Source organism: Homo sapiens, chromosome 5 (genome assembly GCF_000001405.40).
Source record: "Homo sapiens chromosome 5, GRCh38.p14 Primary Assembly".
NCBI lineage: Eukaryota > Metazoa > Chordata > Mammalia > Primates > Hominidae > Homo > Homo sapiens.
Window position 1 is genome coordinate 176,879,603 of NC_000005.10, and position 20,075 is coordinate 176,899,677.

A 20,075-nucleotide genomic window follows, 5' to 3' on the forward strand; every position below is an offset into this window, starting at 1 on the left:
GCCGGGGCAGTCATTGTGTTTGGCTTCGGGGAGGCCCTGCCCTGGGGTGGGCCAGGGGGGGCAGGAGGTGTCGGCTGGGGCCAGGCCAGGCTGCTGACGGCCCCCCTCCCCTCCACAGCCATCTCAGCTTCTTTGCCTCCAAGCCCAGCCCCACAGCCATGATCCTCAACCTGTGGGAGGCGCGGCACTTCCCCAACGGCAACCTCAGCCAGCTGGCTGCAGCAGTGGCTGGACTGGGCCAGCCAGACGCTGGCCTCTTCACAGTGTCGGAGGCTGAGTGCTGAGGCCGGCCAGGCCCGACACCTACACTCTCACCAGCTTTGGCACCCACCAAGGACAGGCAGAAGCCGGACAGGGGCCCTTCCCCACACCGGGGAGAGCTGCTCGGACAGGCCCCCTCCCGGCCGAAGCTGTCCCTTAATGCTGGTCCTTCAGACCCTGCCCGAACTCCCACCTCTCCATGGCCTGCCTAGCCAGGCTGGCACTGCCACTCACACTCGGCCCCAGGGCCCAGGAGGGACAGTGCCTGGAGCCTGGGCCAGGCCCAGCCCATCTGTGTGTGTGTATGTGCGTGTGATGCTACCTCTCCTCCCGTCCCTCTCCAGGGGCCCCGCATACACACGGCCATGCACGCACACACTGGGCCTGGGCCAGGGCCCCAGAGCTCCTGCCTGAGCTGGACCTTATGCAAACATTTCTGTGCCTGCTGGGTAGGGGCACGTCTGAGGGGCCCTGCTCCAAGCCTGCAGGACCGAGGGCCACAGCCGGACAGGGGGTAGCCCCTGGATTCAGGCACACGACCACCACACGAGCACGTGCCACGCATGCCTCGTGTGCTCATCTCACACACACCCCCCTCCCGGGTCACGCAGACACCCCCCAACCACACACATCTCATGCTGTACACCTGAGGCTGCTCACGTCTCACGCCCAGTGTTGGTGCACATTTGCCTCTCACATGCTGCCCTCTCCACCCACCCAGGGACACCCCACGGCTCCTCCCTGCCCCTGCCCCTCCCCCAGCCTTGAGGTGCCCTGCCCGGCGGGGCCTGTGAATATGCAATGGGAGTCCCAGGCTGTACAGTGGTGAGTGTGTGTGTGGCGTGGCGTGCCCGTCCCCAGGGCTGGCTGGTGCCCCACGCGGGGCCTGTCATGTGAAGCTCGTGTCCTGACTTTGTCTTAAGTGCATTCACGCACTTACTCTTGGCCTTATGTACACAGCCTTGCCCGGCCGCCGGGGCACATAGGGGTTTTATCGGGCGTGAATGTAAATAAATTATATATATATATTGCTAACCTGAGTGCTACTTCTCTCAGGGAAAGCCAGGGAGCAAGGCCAAATGGCCGCAGAGGGGTCACACATGGGATGTCCCAGGAGTCCTGGGTGGCTGGGCCTGGCTGGGAAACAGGCAGACCCCGACCCGGCTCCAGCAAGGCTGCGGCGGAGACCTCCTCAGCCTGGAGGTTTCCTCAGACACGAGTCAACTGCGCAAGGCGGCAGGCAACAGCGGTGACCAGGGCCGCACCTTTGCCGGACCCATCCTCTGACTGCAGGAACGTGACCACACAGCGAGGGGCCAGCTCCCGCACTGTGGCCGCCACCAGGCTGGAGAAGCTGTGAGAGGAGGGCTGAGGTGAGCCCAGGCCACCAGCCCCACCTGGCCACACCTCCCTCCCCAGCCCGCACACCCAGACTCACCGCGGGTGCAGCTTGTAGAGCGTTCCATCCACCCCCACAGACACTGCCAGCTCTTCCAGGCCCCGGTTCTCCCGGATCTTCTCCACCACGGCAGCTACACCCGCCCCACAGAGCTGGGCAGCCCTCTGGGACACAGCCTGGCACACCTCTAGCACCATCAGGGCGTCATCTGAGGTCAGGGGTAGCCCCAGATCCTCTAGGATGGCTCGGACCTGCCGCAGGGCCAGGCTGTCACTGGGGGCCAGGAAGGAAGAGAGCACAGGGAGGTGGGTCGTGACTTCTCCCACTTCATCCTCCAGAGCAGACCTCGTCACCACCCATGGCCAGCAATCCCCCACAGTGGACAGAAAGACCCCCTGAAGTGGGGGAGGCAATGTAGGCCTCAGGCACCTTTCGATCTCAGAGAGGAACTTGGTCTTGAAGATGTCCCTGGTCTGAAGGCGCTGGATCTGCTGGCCCCGGAAGAGAACGCCAAGGCTGGTTAAATGTAAAAGGATGTGGCGGACGATCTCCCCCAGGTACATGCCGCTGATCATCTTTTCAAACCTGCATGAACATGTGTGCACTCGGCAGAAGGCCCCACCAGCCACCATCCCCAGCACCGGTCACAGCCAGCCACCACTGCCTGGGCCCAGCCCACACCTCTGCTTGCCGGGGTTGATGGACGCCTGGTCCACACTTGCATCAAAGCGGGTGCTGAGCATGGCCAGAGAGCCATCGTCCCCAAAGGCGCCCCACTCCATGTTGATGCACATGCGGCCTGAGTCCCCAGGCACGCCCGCCACATTCCGGAGCTCCTCCATGTAGCAGGCATTGGTGCCGGTTCCTGCAGAGAGGCCAGACAACGTGGAAGCTACTTACTGATGTAGACAAGGACCCTCTGAGCACTTCCCATACCGAGATGGCAACGATTCGGGCTCACTCTCTCTACCTCTCATGCTCACAGCCTGTCCCTGGTCCTGGTCCTTCTTCCTTCCCGACATCCCTCGTGCAGACCCTGCCAGCTCCAAGCCCTGGGGACCTTCACTGCCTTTCCCACCAACATCACCATCAGTGCATCCACCATGCCACCCCCAAGTGCTCCTACAATGCCCAGCTGTCCTGTCATTCCCCTGGGAGACATGTGACATCCCCCGCCCTCGCCCCTAGCTCTCTGCGGTTGAGAGGCCGAAGCTCCCTGGACCGGCCTGCCAGGCCCTTAATCCAACTAAGAGGTGCTGGGCCAAGAGCAGGGGACACAGAGAAATCAGAGACGAGGAGCCCCACAGTCTGGCCAGAGGTCAGGCAATGAATAGCCAGCTCTGACAGAGCCTCTGTGCCCCCGTGGAAGCACCAAGGAGAGCATCGTGGGAGCCCAGACCACGGGGCGAGTCTCTGCCAACAGGATCAGGAAAGCAACAGAGAGGAAGTGACTGAATCCAAGAAGCACAGAAAGAAAAAGGCATTCCAGGCAGAGGACGCACCCTGGATGAGGGCGTCTCCTTCCTTTCTCTGACACAGCTTCAGCTCCAGGAAGGTGGGCTCCTTGCTGGCCCCACCTGGAGCTCCTCTGTCCAGCTGTTTATGCACACAGCAACCTGGGCATGCCTCTCCCAAGTGCCTAACCGTGCCAGGTGCTGGGTTCAAAAACCTCCCCCTCAAGAGAGGCTGCCACATGCCTCGTGTTGAGAGACCAATGCCCCAGGAGCTGTGGGATCCCTCCTCCCCAACAGAGCCAAATCCTTTCTTTCAGGGCTTTCAAGTTCCACTCATCCTGGGACCCACTCCTTCCTGATCTTGGCCTCGCTGCTGCCCACGTGTAGAATCAAGTCACTCTCTGACCGCTACGTGTTGTTCTGGGCTTAACCCTTGCTGAGTGGTCGGTTCTGAGAAGGCAGAAATTGCCTCTTGTTTTATGTGTCTTCCTATTCCTCTGTCCAGTCCCCTGTGGACACAGGGTAGGTGCTTAATAAGGATGGAATCTTGGACTGTCTGAAGGACCCTCATTGCTCATTGGTCCCCTGCCCCCGCCCAGCTCCAAACACCAGGTGTGTACCATGAGCCAGGGACCATGCTGTATTTTGTCCCCTCCCATTTCATCCTCATGATGCCTTGAGACAGGCATTGTTACTCTTATCTCCATCTTAGAGATGAGGAAACTGAGGCTCTGGTGACTTGCCCAAGGTCATACAGGTGGAAACACAAAGCTAGTATTTCCACCCAAATCTGTACAACTCCAAAGCTCAGATTCATTTATCAGATGGGCAAAGTGAAGTTCAGAGAGCTTAAATGACCATGAGTCAGTCACTGAGCTGGACTATACACCCAAGCTCCAAACTGCCAGCCCAAGAGATTGTTCCAGAGCCCTACTGGGTCAGACCAGAGCAATCCCACATCCCCACCGCCAAGGAAACATCCAACCAGAGGAATCAACAGAAGGCAGCAAATTGCCAAGCAGTAGGGGCATGAAAGGGCAGGGCCCTCCTCACCGACAATGAGGCCTATCTCGCAACGGGGGTCCTCATAGCCACAGGACATCATGGTCCCCACCGTGTCATTGACAATGGCAACCACATTCAGCTCCACTGCCTGCACACAAAAGGATGCTGCTAGTTGCTGGGCAACGCGGTCGTCACAGCAACCAGCACTGGACCCAGAGGTCTCTACCGCAGAGGGCTCCCCCCTCAGAAAGTAGGAGACTCTTTGCTCCCCTCAAGGCCTGCCACAGCCCCAAAGCACCCCTAGAACAGGCTCCTACCTGTCTGCGAGTGATGGCTTCCCGCAACAGACTCACGACATCTTGGCCCTCGCAGTCTGATGCCTTGAAACCCTTGGTCCAGTTCAGGAGGATGCCCTGGGGTGAGACCGAGAGGAAGTGGCAGGAAGCTGGAGGCCCCTTCAGGCTCACTCTGCCTCTGCAAAACCTGCATCCATCACAAGCCTAGGCTTTCCACCCTCCCCAAGCACAATTCCTTGCCTACTTTGCTGTATGGTTGAAGGCCTTGCCCTCTGCCCGCTCCCTACTCCCCAGGAGGCTTTCGGTGTGCAAAAACCTATTAATAACCATCTAACCTACATTTTCCATTATTAGTTCCAGACAGTCAGAGGGTCTGGCCATTTTAAGACGTGTGCCCGGAAGGAATGGCCCTTTGTAATTGGGTTAGGAATTAACAGAGCTGGTAAAGTGAGTGCTGTGTGTGAGACAGGGGAGGACAGAGAAGGCTCAGAGGCCCAGATGACAGCAGATCCCACCCTTTCAGAAAGAACTCCAAGTTACTCTAGAGGAAGGAATTCTCAGCTTCAGGGATAGAGCCGTGTCAATGGGCGAGTCACTCATGTGTTCCAAATGCAGGGGCAGGAGGAATGGAAAAGCCAGAACCCAGGCCCCTGGGCAGGATGAAGGCTGAGTGCCCAGATTGTGAGAAAAGGGACTTAAACTTAGTGACACGGGGCTCAACTTTACCTGGAAAGGAATGCTGTTTTCTTAGTGTGCGTCCTCTGAGGGAGGGGGCAGGGGGAGCAGGAATTAGTCTACAGCTGTTGGGAGAAAATTACTGCTTTGCTCAGAGGAGGAGCATGGAGGGTAGGTCAGGAAATCTTTGGGGCAGAAGATTTTAGAAATAGTAAGCAACGTTTTCCTCCAATAATATGTCCTTTTATCCCGTTTTTTATTGTCCTAGGCTCATTGTCTCAAAAACAGAAAGCAGAGAATGTGATAGAGTGAGAGAAAGAACCCGTTTGAGAGAGACCAGATGATGAGTAAGAGCCCTGTGTGGGCTGCTCTCCCTAGAGTGGGGAAGGGGAGGCAAAGGGGGAAGTCAGACCCAGGTTGCTGATGACTTCCTGAGACAGGTGTCCTATGCCCTCCCCACTGGGCTGAACCCCTGTTCAGAAGGGATCTGAGAAATCTGAGAACAGAGGAGGCCTCTGCCCTCCTTCCCCAGATAATGCACAGGAAGGTGTCGAGACTCAAGAGAGGAAGTGGCAGAGGCAAGTGCCCAAAGAGCAGGGCCCGGGGCACCTCCCTGAGTTCCCACATCCCTGCAAATTCTGCACAGCAAAGGCTGCTGCAGAGCCAAAGGGGCTCCTGGGGAAGGCAATCCCCACACTGGTTAAGTTTTCACCCCTGAAAATAATGTGGGCCCAACATTTTTTTTTTAAGATGGAGTCTTGCTCTGTTGCCCAGGCTGGAGTGCAATGGCACAATCTCAGCTCACTGCAACCTCTGCCTCCCGGGTTCAAGTGATTCTCCTGCCTCAGCCTCCCGAGTAGCTGGAATTACAGGCACACACTGCCACGCCCGGCTAATTTTTGTATTTTTAGTAGAGATGGGGTTTCAGCATCTTGGCCAGGCTGGTCTTGAAATCCTGATCTCATGATTCACCCGTCTCAGACTCTCAAAGTGCTGGGATTACAAGCGTGAGCCACCGCGCCCAGCCTTCAGCACAGAAATTAAGTTCAGTTACAGAAAATTAATAAGACTATATTTCTTGCCCCCACCCCGCCCCCCGATTTGCACATGGAGTCTCACCTGCTTCTCACATCTTACAAGGAATAATCAAAAGGACTGAGCAGGCTTAGCCTGGAGCAGAGCAGCCAAGCAGCAAGACTGGCCCACTGCACCATCCAAAGGACCACCGTGTAAAAGAAAGCAGAGTACAGAGTTGCATATCAGGTGGAGTGCGGTGGCTCACGCCTGTAATCCCAGAACTTTGAGAGGCTGAGGTGAGCGGATCACCTGAGATCAGGATTTCTAGATCAGCCTGGCCAACATGGTGAAACCCCATCTCTACTAAAAATGAGCTGGGCGTGTTGGCATGTGCCTGTAGTCCCAGCTACTTGGGAGGCTGAGGCAGGAGGATTGCTTGAACACAGGAGGTGGAGGCTGCAGTGAGTGAGCCAAGATCATGCCATTGCACTCCAACCTGGGCGACAGAGTGAGACTTCATCTCAAAAAAAAAAATGAGTTGCATATCAGAGAGAGGTCAGAGCAGGAGCAGGGGGTGAAAATCACATGGAGGCTGGTTGGAGTAGGTGAGATGAAGCTTTTCATTGATCACAGGTGTCTAAGAATGCAACTGTTGCCTTCAGGGGCAGTGAGCTCCTTGGCAAGAGGCTTTCAAGCAGAAGTTGGGTATGTTGAAAGGGAGATTCCTGGGAGTTTGGACCAGAGGCCCGGGAGGTATTGTTTCCGTGACAGGCTTCCGGTGTGCACATTGAGAAGTCCCTCATCCTTGTGTAAGAACAAGCTAAAGTGTGTGCTGAGTAGGGATGTGTGTCTTAGCCTGTGCCTGGCACTCTGCCACCCTAGTCATGCACCCAACACTGAGCCAGGCACTGAGAAGGAAACAAAGAAAGGAGGAGGAGAGAGGCCAAAAAAACCCCAAGCGACCTCAAGCCCCTGCTAGAGACAGGAACAAATGCTGGTTCCTGCAGGACCCTGAGGCCCACACACCAGTGCTATAGCTAAAATGGACGATCTGTCCTCTGATCAGCCCCAGTCTAGGCCTGACCTGCTCCCAAATGGTTCAGACCCTAACCCTGGGCCTACCCTGTCTGGGGAAACTGAGGCTGTGTGCAAGCCCAGCCCAGCAGTGCTGCCACCACCACCAACCCCAGACCCGCCACCGCCCAGCCTTTTCCCCTGCCTCCTGCCCACTCCATGAAGGGTATGTGGGGGCAGGAGGCCCTTGGGAATCACTTCTCTTGGCCCTCCCTCACCTGGTCTAGGCCAAGCTGCCTACATGGGAAGGAGAAGGTAAAACCCAGTGGGAGGCTCTGCCCGCTCAGGCCCTGCTTCTGCTGGAAGTCCACGATGCAGTCCACGATGTGGTCAAAGAGCTGTGGGGCAGGACAGGTCAGGCGTAGGCACTGCTCAGCCCTTCCCCACCTCTGACATCAAGGTTCAGGCTGTGGGTACCTGCTGCCCAGAACCCTGGGCCACAGTCTCGGGAATGGAGTAGATCTCGCTGGTGATCTGCACGCCTGTGGTCACACGTACCAGGAGGACACGGAAGTTCGTGCCCCCGAGGTCCAGGGCCAGGAAATCCCCTCGCTCTGTGGGGGCAGAGACCCTCAGTGCCGGGATAGGGCTTGTGGCTCCAGCCCCAGCACACACTGGGACCCCCAGGAGCCCATGTTTCGGTCCCACACTCAGGCCAGGTCCTTACCGCTGCCGTCAGGGGTGGCCCGGACGAAAGTGGGCAGCATGCGAAGGGAGGAGGCCTCCCCTCGGAGCCCCTTGGCCATGGCCTTCCGCATCTGTGCCTGAACCGCAGCCAGTTGATCATGGTTCAACCGGAATGGGGCCAGGGTCTCCTCCAGCAGGCGCCGGTGGGCAGCCAGACGGGCAGCCACGGCAGTCACCATCGCCACTCCCCGGCCACCACCATCCACAGAGGGGATTAAGGAGACATCGCATTCCGGGGCCAGGAGCATCACTGTCCCCTGCAGGACGCTGCAGAACCTACAGATACATACAGGTGCACCCGGCTTGGCCCTGGACCCCCAGACACACACAGGTGTGCACGGCTTGGCCCTGGACCCCCAGATACATACAGGTGTGCCCAGCTTGGCCCCAGACCCCTAGGGCCTCCTGAAGCCCAAGGCCCCATCACTTTTTTTTTTTTATTTTTGTAGATATCGAGTCTTGCTCTCTCACCCAAGCTAGAGTGCCACGGAGTGATCATGGCTTACTGTAACCTCAAACTCCCAGGCTCCAATGATCCTCCCACCTCAGCCTCCCAGTGTTGAGATTACAGGCGTGTACCACCATAGCCAGCCTCCCCTATCACTTCAATTTGAAATCTGTTCTGTGCACCAGCCATACGCCCCCGTGTCGCCATGGCCTCCACCCTTGCACACACAAAGGGAAGCATCGTTTCTCTCCTTGGATGTCTTCTGGCCTCCCATAGCTCAGTCTGGCCCTCCCTCTGCCTAAGTGCCCTTCGTGTCCACTGGCTTGCACATGTGATCCCAGAGGGCCCTCTGGGTGTGTATCACACACACGTGTTCATGCCAACTAATCATGCGGATCACGTTTCCACAATACCTGGGGTGCCGCTCACACACTCGGCCTCCGGTGGCCACAGCAACCTGGAGTGTTTGTTGCTCCCGGCTGTGCTGGAGGCAGGAGAGAACAGCGGCCAGGGCGGCAGCACAGAGCTGGGCAGCCCGCGTGCACACGGCCGCACAGACGTGCTGCACAAGCTCAACATCCGAAGCCCCAGGGCTCAGGCCCAAGTCCTGCAGGATAGCATGGACACGGGCTGCCCCAGTAGAGGGGCTGGAGGGGAAAGGGAAGTGGTTTGGGGCTCAGCCCAGAAGCTCCCCATCCCACTAAAGCCCCATGGCTACCTTGGGAACAGAGTATCATCCCCTTCCTCCAAGCCAAGAATCCCCCACTAAACCACCATCTCCCCGACTCACTCCTCCATCTCAGCCACGTGTTCCAGGAGGATGCTGCCTTGGCTCAGCAGGGCAGGGGAGGTGCAGCCACCAAAGAGGACCCCACACCGGGCCAAGTGAGCCAGCACCAGCCGCACCAGCTCACCCAGGTACAGGCCTCCGATCATCTTCTCAAACCTGCAGGGGGGAAGGGTGGCTGGAGGAAGCCTTTTCTAAGCCCTCAGTCCACCTGGCCCTACCTCCAAGAGTTCCCAAAGAAGGATTCTTTTCTTTGGGGCTCCCAAACTGGAGACTCCAGAAGCAACGAATAGCCTCCCAGAGGACAGGTGGGTGTATGCCCAGACCCCACTGCCCCCTCTGACATAGGTTACATTCAGAAGCCTCCTGGAGAACAAGAAGGACCCAAAGGAAGGCAGAGAGCAGTTTGCTCAACCACTTCCAGCCCTCAACCCCCAAACTGTCAGGGCAGGCCAGAGTCAGGAACAGGGAAGATCAAGGGTTGACAATTCTGGATTCTAGAACTTTGGGCCCTTCCTTCTTTGAACCTGGCCAGGGCCCCCAGGTTGCTCCCTGGAGACCCTCAGAGTGACAGGGAGGGGCCTAAGGGCCTGAGAACAGGGACAGAAGGGGTTGGGAGCAGAGCAGTCATAGACAGGGCCTGGAACCAAAGGTCAGGGCCCCCTGCCAGGTCACCTCTGAGCACCAGGATTCAGGGACTCATGGTCCAGGGTATGGTCGAAGGTGGTCAGCACTGGTCCCAGCGCCCCATCATCGCTGAAGGAGCCCCACTCGACGCTGACGCAGACGCGGCCCCGGTCTTCGTCCAGCACTGCCACATGCCGTGCCTCCTCCATGTAACACGCGTTGGTGCCCGTGTCTGGCAGAGACAACCCTGTCAAGGCCTGCTAGCCAGGCAGCACACCCTCCACCTGTCATCACAAATGGTCCATGGCTCACCTACAACTAGCCCAACCTCACACGGCCTGACCCCCGGCTCACAGCCCATCATGGTGCCCACTGTGTCGTTCACCACAGCAACCACGTCGATGTTGTAGGCCTAGATGATGAAGAGGGCAGAGGTCAAGGCTGGCCTGAGTGGCCAGAGGAGGGAATCCAGGGGATGGGCAGGGCTGGGGCCCTGGCTTTGAAGGAGATACATAGAGTCCATGAAACACATGTCTGCATGCCACACACATTTGTGCCACAGATGCTCTGGGCTCCCACCTTATAGGAACTTTTCCTCCAATCCCACCCTCAGCTCCTCCCTAACCCCCAACTTGCGCCCCCAGGTCACAGTGACGTCCACCCTCACCATCTCCCAGGACCAGGATGAGTTTCCTGAGACTGAGCACCTCCTTGAACTCTGCGCCTTGCCAGCCTCACTGTCATCCTGCCTGGCTCCCCAAGCCTGTTCCTCCCAGCACTGGCTTCTCACCACAAGAGGTTAGCCCAGACGGATCAGCCTTTGTCCAGCATCCAGACTCTTGTGTGTGGCCTTCTCTGAGACTAGATCATCCGCCCCAGCCCCAGCCTGACTTGAAGGGAGGCAAACTCCTCCTTCAAGCCCCTGATCAAAGAGCCAGTGCTTCCTCCGTAGTGCTCCCAGAGTTGTCCACGCACTCCTCCTTGACACGGACAATCTTTTATTAGAATGCTTCCCCATCTAGACTGTGAAAACCTTGAGGAGGAGGTCAAAGTCTATTCATGTTTTTTTGCCCCAGGTCCTGAATGTTTATTTGACCTTTCTTAGCCTCAGTGTTTTTTAACCTATACAATGGGAATGGTAGCAACATGTACCATGTATAGGTTAAACTGGATGGAGGTTAAACTGGATGGAGGACATGAAGAGAAGAGGAAAGCAACTCTCTCAGAAGCCCAGACCCAACGCATGTGTGCCAGGCCCAGGCCAACATGGGCAGCCCTCCTGTCACCCCTCCCTCCACTCACCCCCTGCCTCCGAATGGCATCTCTCAGCAGCTGGACCACATCCTGGCCTTCCACACCACTGCACCTAAAACCTTTGGTCCAGGAAATGAGGGTGCTCTGGAGGTAGAGAAGCTGGGTTACTCCTCTGACGGCCTTCATGGGGCTGCAGCCACCCTCTACCCAGCGTCCCATGTCCACTCCACCTCACCCTGTCCAAGCCCGTCTGGTGACAAGGGAAAGAGAAGCTGAAGCCAAGCTGCAGACCCTGTTTGTTCACAGGCTGCGCATCCAGGAACTCAGACAGGCAGTGGGCAGCAAAGTCAAAGAGCTGCAGGAGAAGTGGGGGGGCTCAGCCTTGCCCATCTGAGCCCTAGCCACCCAGCCAGGCCCCCAGACCCCAGAGGCTGGGCAGTGAGTGCTTACCTGCTGGCCAGCACCCAGCATCACCTCTTGGGGGATCACAAACTCCTGGCTTCTGGGCTCCACCCTATGCCCCTCAATGCCAGTTAGAGTCACCCACAAAACACGCAGTGAGGCCCCTGTGGCCCCCAGCTCCAGCACCACGAAGTCTCCTTGCTCTGGAGGGCAAGCAGGTCACAGAAAGCCATGCAGCTGGCAAGACCAGAGCCCTCTGCCCACTTCCCAAATTCCTAAGGCCTGCAAAGTCTGGTCAAGGGGCCATAGAGATGGGGGACAGGAATAAGGAACGTTTCCCTCCCCTAGATCAGTACCCTCTTCCAGGCCTGGCCACGCATCTCAATCTATGATACCCACCAGTGCCATGTGGGGTGGACCCCACGTATGTAGGCAGCATCCGGACCGCAGGGGCAGGGCTGGCCTGTCCCCTCAGCGCCTGCTCCATGGAACCCAAGAGGCTGGCTTGGATCTGCTGTAGCTGTGCCCTTGTCACCTTGAACTGCTGCAGGCACTCCTGCACCTGGGGAGAAACAGGCCAACATCTGGGAAGGAGCACCATTGGGCTGGCCAGACTCCCCACCTCCAAACAAGGCAGAGGCCTGCCCTGCCCAGCCCACTCCTCGGCTCTTCATACACCCTGACTCTCTTGCCAACAGCCTGCACCCAGCTCTGGCATCCTCAGAAGGCTCTGTCCTGGAAAGAGAACCCACCTTCTTCCTCCTCCTGCCCCATTACCTCACGGCTCCTTCTCAATTTCTTACATCCTCTACCCTACCCCTCCTCTTCTTTGAATTCAGGGTTTGGCAAGACCTTCTTCCTGCCATACCACTAATGATTGCTCTCTGGCTCCCCAGGACCCACAGCAAGAGTCTCTCAGTGAGTTGTTGTTGAACGAACAAGAGAATAAACAAATGCACGAACAAACTTCAAGTGTTTCCCTCTCCTAATCCACTCTCAGACTCTGAAGCCTGAAAAAGCCCAGCACGAGAGCATTTGGAGACCACACTGCAGAGGATGGTCCTTTTTTCAGTCAGTCATCCTTCCCAAAACATTGCTCCAGCCCTCACTATGCACCCAGCTGTATTCTAAGCACCGCACACACATAACCACCCAAGAAGCAACAAATGCTTTAGATTCCAGGGTGGGAGACAGAAATTAAGCACGTGAACATACAATTTGGTTCCAGTAGTGATGGTGGCTATTAAACGTAGGGGGGCAGGATAAGAAATTAGAGAGTGACCAGGGTAGAAAGAGGTATTTTTAGATATGAGTTCAAGAGGGTTTCCCTGAGGAGGTGATCTAAATGAAGGAAGGGAACAAGCCATTCGAAGATCCAGGGGAAGAGCAAGGGGATGGATTTGGAGAAGACTGATCCGGGAGTGGATCGGAGTCTGAAGGGGCAGGTGAGAAGGCAGGGAAGGCAGAAGCCAGGACACCCCAGGCTGTCACTCCACCAGAAGCCCAGTAGCTTAAGAGCCCCAGGGACCTCATCCCTGTGAGCAAATACCCTCCCCTAGATGACTCTCTCACCCATCCTTCAAAGAAGCCCCAACAGCCTCCCTGGATTCATTGAAGGGTCACAGCCTGGCAACTCCATCCTCCTCAGGCTCAGACTTTCCAAAGCCCCCACTTCCTGTCACACAGGAGTTCCATTTCAATGACCTATTGCCCCAAACTGGACACTTATCTTTGGAATAACAACTCAGGCACCTGGATAATAAGGCCGCTCCAGGGAGGAGAGGCTGGGAGGAGAAGCTGCCAGTTGAGGGAGATAAGGACAACTCAGTCCCACCTCTTGCTTTAGGAAGAGAATGGGAAACAGATCCCTAAGAAGGCGAATCATCCTAACTGGGGTGCCAGATGTCCACTTACACGTTTGCCTTACAGCACATGCTTCCAGCAGCCATGCCTGCTAGGGGTGCCCATGCCCACTCTATCTCACCCTGACCAGGCCTATCTGGTGACAAGGGAAAGAGAAGCTGAAGCCAAGCTGCAGACCCTGTTTGCTCACAGGCTGCACATCCAGGAACTCAGGCAGTGGGCAGCAAAGTCAAAGAGCTGCAGGACAGGCGGGGTCTCAGCCTTGCCCCTCTGAGCCCCAGCTGCCCAAGTGTTAGAAATATGGAAACGGAGACTCCGAGAGGGCAAGTCATCTGCAGGGCCAAGCAGCTGTGAAGGGGCAGGGGAGAATTTGAACCCATATCTACCTGAATGCAGAGATGTTTCTATGTCAATGTGAAGCTTTATAAAACCTAGAAAGTTCCCTTGAAAAGAACTCAAGGCTGATGAAAGTTGCTGGAAAGAAACCCCAGATGATCCGGCTTGAGAAAACTTACAGCTGAGTCCTCGCACTCCCTTTTTCTGGCTCTGCAGTCCTGGGAAAGTCACACCTCTCTCTGAGCCTCAGTCACCTCTTCGTGCAAAACTGAGAAAATAATAGTACTTGGAAGTCCCCCAATGCCAGGGACTATGTCTTGCTCAAGGCTACATCTGAGGGCCACGAGGAGCACCAGCTGGAAGCAGGATTTGTTGATTGGATGGTTGTGGTGGCATAAGAATTAAAGGCTGTAATGTATGTGGAAGTGCCAAGTGCCATTGGGATGGGAGGGGCGTTTTAGTATTGCTTCATGAAAACAGTAGAGTCACGGAGAAGTCAATGGCTTGGGCAAATTGTTTTTCTTCCTTTTCCTCTTGGGCATATTGAGATGTTCGGGAGGAGAGACTAGAAGACAGCAGAACTGCAAGAAAGACAGAAGGACTTCCCTGGCAGATCCTGGTGAGGCACACACAAGCCAGGAGAAGCTATCGGAGCCACCCCTGACACCCCAGGAAGAGCAGGGAGAGACCTCAGACAGAAGAGCAAGGAGAAAGGCATTAGAGAGCATGTGAAGTCCAATGTGGTTTCAACACTGGCTCTTGTCACCAACTTGCTGTGTTGCTGGCCTGGGCCCATCACCTCACCTCTCTGAGCAAGCAACCCCTCTATCTAGCAGGAACAATAGTACCTACTTCTCAGAGATGCCATGAGGACTGAGACGACAGCAAACCTGAAGTGGAGGAACAGTGTCACACATAGGAGATGCTCAGTGGAACACGGATTCCCTGTCCTCAGAGCACAAAGCACACCCAGCCTGGAGAGCCTGACTCCATACCCTCTCTGATGACAAAGAGAAGCCTGGTGGAAGGGGTGGGGAAGGGCCTCTGAGATGGTACTGGGAACTGGCCACACGTGGTTAACTAACTTTTTTCAACCTAAGGTCATGGCAAGGGGAGCACAGGGTAAGGCCTGTGGTGCTGAGTTGGGGGTCCAGGACCATGGGAAATTTGGTGTCCCTGTGAAGTCCCCCAAAGCCGAAAGGGATTCTTTCAACCGCAGGTGTATGTGATGGAGCCAGCAGGGCAGATGTGGGCCTGCACAGGAGTGTCATCAGGGAGGGGCAAGAAGCGAGGGAGGAGATGACAGCAGGCCCTAGAGCCAGTCCTGGCTGGGCAGGCACTGTGGCCCAGCCACCGCTGTCACTCCTGAGGCACGGCTGTGGGTCAGGCACAGAAGAACTGTCTGCAGCAGGGTCTGGGGTACAGGTTGGACAAGGGGGAAGTGGGAGCATGAAATGCAGCGAGGGGTAATGCCTCCACAATCTGGGCAACAAGCCTAGTCAAGTGGATGTCAGAATATGCCAGAAAACTAAAGAAACTGCAGAGAATGACTCAAGTACCCTTTAGTGGGCACCTCCTCTATGCAAGTCCTTTTTTTTTTTTTTTTTTTGACAGAGTCTCGCTCTGTCACCCAGGCTGGAGTGCAGTGGTACGATCTTGGCTCACTGCAAGCTCTGCCTCCCGGGTTCACACCATTCTCCTGCCTCGGCCTCCCGAGTGGCTGGGACTACAGGCGCCTGCCACCATGCCCAGCTAATTTTTTGTATTTTTTAGTACAGACAGGGTTTCACCGTGTTAGCCAGGATGGTCTTGATCTCCTGACCTTGTGGTCCGCTCACCTCGGCCTCCCAAAGTGCTGGGATTACAGGCCTGAGCCACTGCGCCCGGACTTTTTTTTTTTTTTTTTTTGAGATGGAGTTTTGCTCTTGTTGCCCAGGCTGGAGTGCACTGCCACAATTTTGGCTCACTGCAACCTCTGCCTCCCGGGTTCGAGCGATTCTCCTGCCTCAGCCTCCCAAGTAGCTGGGATTACAGGCATGTGCCACCATGCCGGCTAATTTTGTATTTTTAGTAGAGACGGGGTTTCACCATGTTGACCAGACTGGTCTTGAACTCTTGACCTCAGGTGATCCACCTGCCTCGGCCTCCCAAAGTGCTGGGATTACAGGCGTGAGCCACCGCGCCCGGCCATAGGCAAGTCCTTTATCTCCATTAGCCTTCAGGGGGTGGGGAGGATTAGACTTTATTTTCCTCCATTTTACTGATGAGGAAACAGAGACTAAGAGATATGAAATGGCTTACACAAGAGTTTCCTGCTCAAGGGTGTGGTATGAGACAGCTTCTAAATCTTGGTCAAGATGACAGAAAAAGAAGAAACTCACTTCTGAGCAAGCCTCAGGCATGAGTTTGGCACTAAAATCGTCTGTGTGCCTGATTGTAGCGGCTACATTGAGGGAGACATGCAGGAGGAACTGGAGAGGCGGGAAAGGAAAGGTCTCAAGAACACAACTTTTGACCAGATAACCCTGAGAAAGTCCACTCTAGACTGTGTCACCCACTTGGGGCGGGAGCGGCACCTGTGTGGCAAGGTGGCAAAAATGACATGTTTGGAGCTGAAACACCTCAGCTCAAGCTCCTGTCATGTCTTAAACTCAAGTCATAACACTTCTCTATATCCCTCTTCATCACCTGTAAGATGATCAGCCCAACCTTGCAGTTGTTTGGAGCATGAAAGGAGATCGTTACCAGCTCAGATATGAAAAGCTCAGTGGAAAGGGGCTGCATGGGTGAGAGCCCAGGGCCCCATGGCAGCTTCAGTCACGCTGCTCTTGAAGGCCTTAGACAAGCATGAAACAGGAACCCAGTGCTGAACTTACCAGCTCTGAGCTGTCTGAGGGCCCGGGCAAGCCCTCCTCAGAGCAACTCAGGGTTTCTTCCCCCTGCCGCAACCCTGAAGACCCAATGGAGTCCATGAGCTTCCACAGTGGAAGGTGGCCACCTATGGGAGAAAAGGGACAACCTGGGTCAACCATTTACTCTATAGGCCCTAGGAGTCTGTAACCCAGACCAACTTCCTTCCTTCTGAAGGGGACCAGGAAGGAAGCTGGGAGCAGAATTCAGAACCTCCAACCATCAAAGATCCTGTAGCAGTCAACCAGAAGGCCCTTGTTTTTCACAAGCATGTCTAATGAGAGAGCACTGGAAAGGCTGATTTCAGTCCAAATGCCATTCGTTAATTCTGTCATTCATTGACATTCACCAGTTCCTGATGCCTGCTATGCTGGACGTTGTGGTACAGATGAAGCAGACCTAGGCCCTGCCCTCAGGGACCTCACAGTCTCATCAACAATCACAGTATGATTAGCACAGGCAGTGAGCAAGATGGCCACATGTAATAGATGGACATGCTGCTGTGGTTGGGAGGTCAGGGACATGCTAGAGGCTTGGAACAAAGAGGGAACCAAAGACCTGCCAGAGAAGCAGGCAGGCTGGAAAAGGGACAGCCATTGTGCCAGGCTAAGGCACATGAATTTCATCCTGAAGGCAACAGGGGTCATGGACAGGGGTGGATCTGTGCTTCAGAAAGGGGTTCCACTAGTGACCTGACCTTGGACGTCATTTATGACTTCTTTGAATTTCAGCTTCCATCCATAAAACAGGAGGAAATAATATCTACCCTCACAAGGTTGTTGTGAGCACTAAATAGAATAACACCTGGGGAAATGCTTTATGAGATGTAGTGTGCAACATAAACATCAGGTGGGTTTTAACAGTGAAGTGATGCAGAGCAGAAAGAGCCCTGTACTCAGAGGTGGGAACCCTGCTCTCCACAAGGCAGCTGCACCCCATCTCAACCTCCAGGCTTTTCATCTGTGAAATGGGACCAACATGTATCAAAGGGTTGTGTGGGGCAAATGAGATCACGAGAGCAAAGGAACTTGCTCAGATGTGCATTCAGATTTATGTAGTTGAATCTGAACTGAAACTCTATGATTCTCCATTTCCTCTATAACATGAAAAGCTCAGTTCTTGTGAGGATTAAAGGAGTTAGTGGTCCTTTGCACACTGTAAGGAACTGTAGAAATGTCAGATACTTCGCTCATCCGAGCTGGAGGTGGTATTGCTGTTTCCATAGTCCCAAGGGAGCCCTCAGTGAGTCAGGTGCTCTTTAGGGGTGGGGGAAAAGGGAAACACAGCAGAGGGCCCAATATGGGAAGAGACATCTGTCCACTGAGTCACTTTACCTCCCTTCCTTGCAACAGCAGAACTTCTGGAAATATAGTACCTTCCCACCCCTACACTCCCCTCCTTGCCTACTCCCACTATGCTCACTAATTTGCCCTCCACGTGGTCACTGGTGACCTCCTAACTGCCCAATCCCAAGCCTTTTCCTCAGTCCCCACCTCTGCTGCCCTCTCTCAGGCATGCAAAGCCAGTAGTCATTCTCTTTGCTACAGAATTCCCCCTGTCCTTGGCTTTCACGGCCAGTCTCTCCTAGGTCTCCTTCCTGAGTCTCTCGTAGTCTTCATCAGTAATTTCTGTTCCTTCAGACAATGGGGTTCCCAAGTTTCGGTCATGCCCTCCCTCTACACTCCCTTTATCTCGCCCATTCCCAAGGTTTCATTAATAGCTGTGTCAGGGCTCCCAAATCTACCTTTGGCCTCAGCCAAATCCTAAATCCCAGTGGTCTGTTAGACATCACTATCTGGATGGTGGAGAAGCTCCTCAAATTCAACAAAGCCATACTCATTTTTCCATCACCTTACCCCCACAAAGCTCTTCTGTTCTCCACCTTGACTGGAGACATCGAAGTGTGCTCACTCACACGGCCGTTCGGGCTGCCTGCGCGCATCCCTCACCCTCACCTCCTCTATGCAATTGGATCTCAGGCTCTCTAAGAGCTCTCCTCTGCATCCCCTCCTCCCCATTCCCACACACTGCACCAGACCATCCTCCGGCCTGATTATTACAACAGCCTCCTAAACTGATAGCTCTGCTTCTAGTTTCTTCACCTCCTTACCCCACCCAACTTGATCACCTCTGCACTCATGGCCGGCACAGGGTCTGGTATAGGTATGTGCTAATGTGCCTTTCCAAAATTGGAAGCAAGGGGAGTGGGTAGTTTTTTATTTAATAAAGCAACAAATCAGCTTCTGATAAATCTCCCCAAACCATACATACCTATGCTGAGTTTCCAAATCTGTCAAATAGGGGTGTGGAATTCTTGTTCTATGCTGCAGGTCTATTTCAAGGATAAAATGAGGTAACTGGGGCAATTACCTTCGAAAAGGACTAAGGGCTACACACGTGTCTTTCTCAAGGCCCAGCTAGTTCATTTATTCATTCACTCACTCATTCATTCCCTCATCCATTCAATATTTATTCAGCATTTTTACATGACAGAATCTGTGAAGCAATCCCCAAGTAGCCCTAATATTTATATGCTAGGTAAATGTATTCAGCTCTGTCTCTTCCCACTGAGATTCCCTGTGGGGAGGGACATGTCTCCTTCACTGCAGTATCCCCAGAGCCCAGGGTCTGTTTGCCTAAGGGCCCCGTGGCTTCCCTTAGCTGAATGGGCTACACGAAGTGAGTTTTCCTCCTGAAAAGTACCCCAGGGACCTCTACTGATGTTGGGAGCTGCCATCGAGAACCAGCTGGCAGGCTGGGTGTGGTGGCTTGCACCTGTAATCCCAGCACTTTGGGAGGCTGAGGCAGACAGACTGCTTGAGCCCAGGAATGTGAGACTAGCCTGGGCAACATGGCAAAACGCCATCGCTAGAAAAAAATAACAAAAATTAGCTGGGTGTGGTGGTGTGCGCCTGTAGTCTCAGCTACTCCGGAGGCTGAGGTGGGAGGATCACTTGAACCCAGGAGGTCAAGGCTGGAGTGAGCCCTGACTGTGCCACTGTACTCCAGTCTGGGTGATAGAGAGAGAGACCCCATCTCAAAAACAAAGAAAGAGAACCAGCTGGCTTAATCTTTCCAGTGTCCACTTCCCCTGGTGTGAGCCAAACAGGAGGGATGAGGACAAGACAGCTGTGGAAGGAGCAGGCAGTAATTAGACCGAAGTGCTTACCTGGGACACAGAGAAGCTAGTCACTCTCCTCAGGTCTGAGCTCTTGTCTGGCAATATGAGGCACCCCAATGACCAAAAGCAACACTCAGGGGTGACCCGAGTTATAATATCCTCAAGCCCCACCCTTTTCCTCCACCACCACTTACCAAACATCAGCTAATTCAGGAAGCTGCACTTCCTTCCAAGCCTGCCCTAAGAGTAGCCCAGGCTAGGCAAGGCTGTGGTGAAAACTTGAGCAAGATGATTACCGCGAAGTGGAGCGTTGAACTGGGTCTAAGATTTTGGGCCATTCCCTCTACAATGCTGAGGGCTGTTTATTTTGCAAATATAGTGAGTTCTGAGGTGGTGGCTCGCCCCTAGAAGGAGCTGGAGGCGCCTAGCCTGGAAAGGTTATGGTAAGTACTTTTGAGC

General features: G+C 54.9%; 2 protein-coding genes across 6 annotated transcripts in view, besides 2 other annotated features; one reads left to right on the forward strand and one right to left on the reverse strand.

Annotated features, from left to right (window-relative positions):
* UNC5A (unc-5 netrin receptor A) overlaps positions 1-1,296 on the forward strand; it is a 70,340-nt gene extending 69,044 nt beyond the window's left edge. For both annotated transcript variants that reach the window (XM_006714928.2, NM_133369.3), the window contains one exon: positions 119-1,296. In XM_006714928.2, coding sequence (XP_006714991.1) covers positions 119-284 — 166 coding nt within the window. In that variant the 3' untranslated portion in view covers positions 285-1,296. The remainder of the gene's footprint in view (positions 1-118) is intronic.
* Positions 353-718: a silencer, noted in NCBI's record as "fragment chr5:176306956-176307321 (GRCh37/hg19 assembly coordinates)". NCBI's record gives its function as "represses an EF-1alpha promoter that drives an FKBP-Casp9 reporter gene in an ReSE screen in phorbol 12-myristate 13-acetate-treated (for megakaryocytic differentiation) K562 erythroleukemia cells {active_cell/tissue: K562(+PMA)}" and the evidence as "EXISTENCE:reporter gene assay evidence [ECO:0000049][PMID:32094911]".
* HK3 (hexokinase 3) lies at positions 1,267-19,744 on the reverse strand. Of its 4 annotated transcripts, NM_002115.3 has the most exons (19): positions 19,665-19,744; positions 16,462-16,583; positions 11,786-11,948; positions 11,435-11,589; positions 11,220-11,339; positions 11,033-11,128; positions 10,043-10,142; positions 9,779-9,962; positions 9,107-9,262; positions 8,730-8,963; positions 7,849-8,144; positions 7,599-7,735; positions 7,400-7,519; positions 4,437-4,532; positions 4,168-4,267; positions 2,342-2,525; positions 2,090-2,245; positions 1,700-1,933; positions 1,267-1,615 (listed from the first exon to the last, which is right to left on the reverse strand). In NM_002115.3, exons 2-19 carry the CDS (start codon positions 16,555-16,557, stop codon positions 1,471-1,473), a joined length of 2,772 nt encoding a protein of 923 aa, NP_002106.2. In that variant the 5' UTR covers positions 16,558-16,583; positions 19,665-19,744; the 3' UTR covers positions 1,267-1,470. The 4 variants fall into 4 exon arrangements, 3 of the variants coding, with proteins under 3 accessions (NP_002106.2, XP_047273090.1, XP_011532842.1); XM_047417134.1 differs by lacking the exon at positions 1,267-1,615 and having other exon boundaries at positions 1,805-1,933; positions 2,090-2,148; XR_941102.3 differs by lacking the exons at positions 1,267-1,615; positions 1,700-1,933; positions 2,090-2,245; positions 2,342-2,525; positions 4,168-4,267 and adding an exon at positions 5,142-5,215 and having other exon boundaries at positions 4,459-4,532.
* Positions 7,814-8,314: an enhancer, noted in NCBI's record as "H3K4me1 hESC enhancer chr5:176314417-176314917 (GRCh37/hg19 assembly coordinates)". NCBI's record gives its function as "activates a minimal SCP1, AML or CMV promoter by ChIP-STARR-seq in naive H9 embryonic stem cells {active_cell/tissue: H9 hESC(naive)}" and the evidence as "EXISTENCE:reporter gene assay evidence [ECO:0000049][PMID:30033119]".

Excerpts from the sequence above, each read along its gene's own strand:
- HK3 (NM_002115.3), bottom strand. The coding sequence starts at position 16,557 with ATGGACTCCATTGGGTCTTCAGGGTTGCGGCAGGGGGAAGAAACCCTG. Across the intron at positions 9,963-10,042 it reads TGAGGTTGGGCTAGTTGTAG|ACACGGGCACCAACGCGTGT; the intron begins GTGAGCCATGGA and ends TGTCTCTGCCAG. Across the intron at positions 8,964-9,106 it reads CACGTGGCTGAGATGGAGGA|CCCCTCTACTGGGGCAGCCC; the intron begins GTGAGTCGGGGA and ends TTTCCCCTCCAG.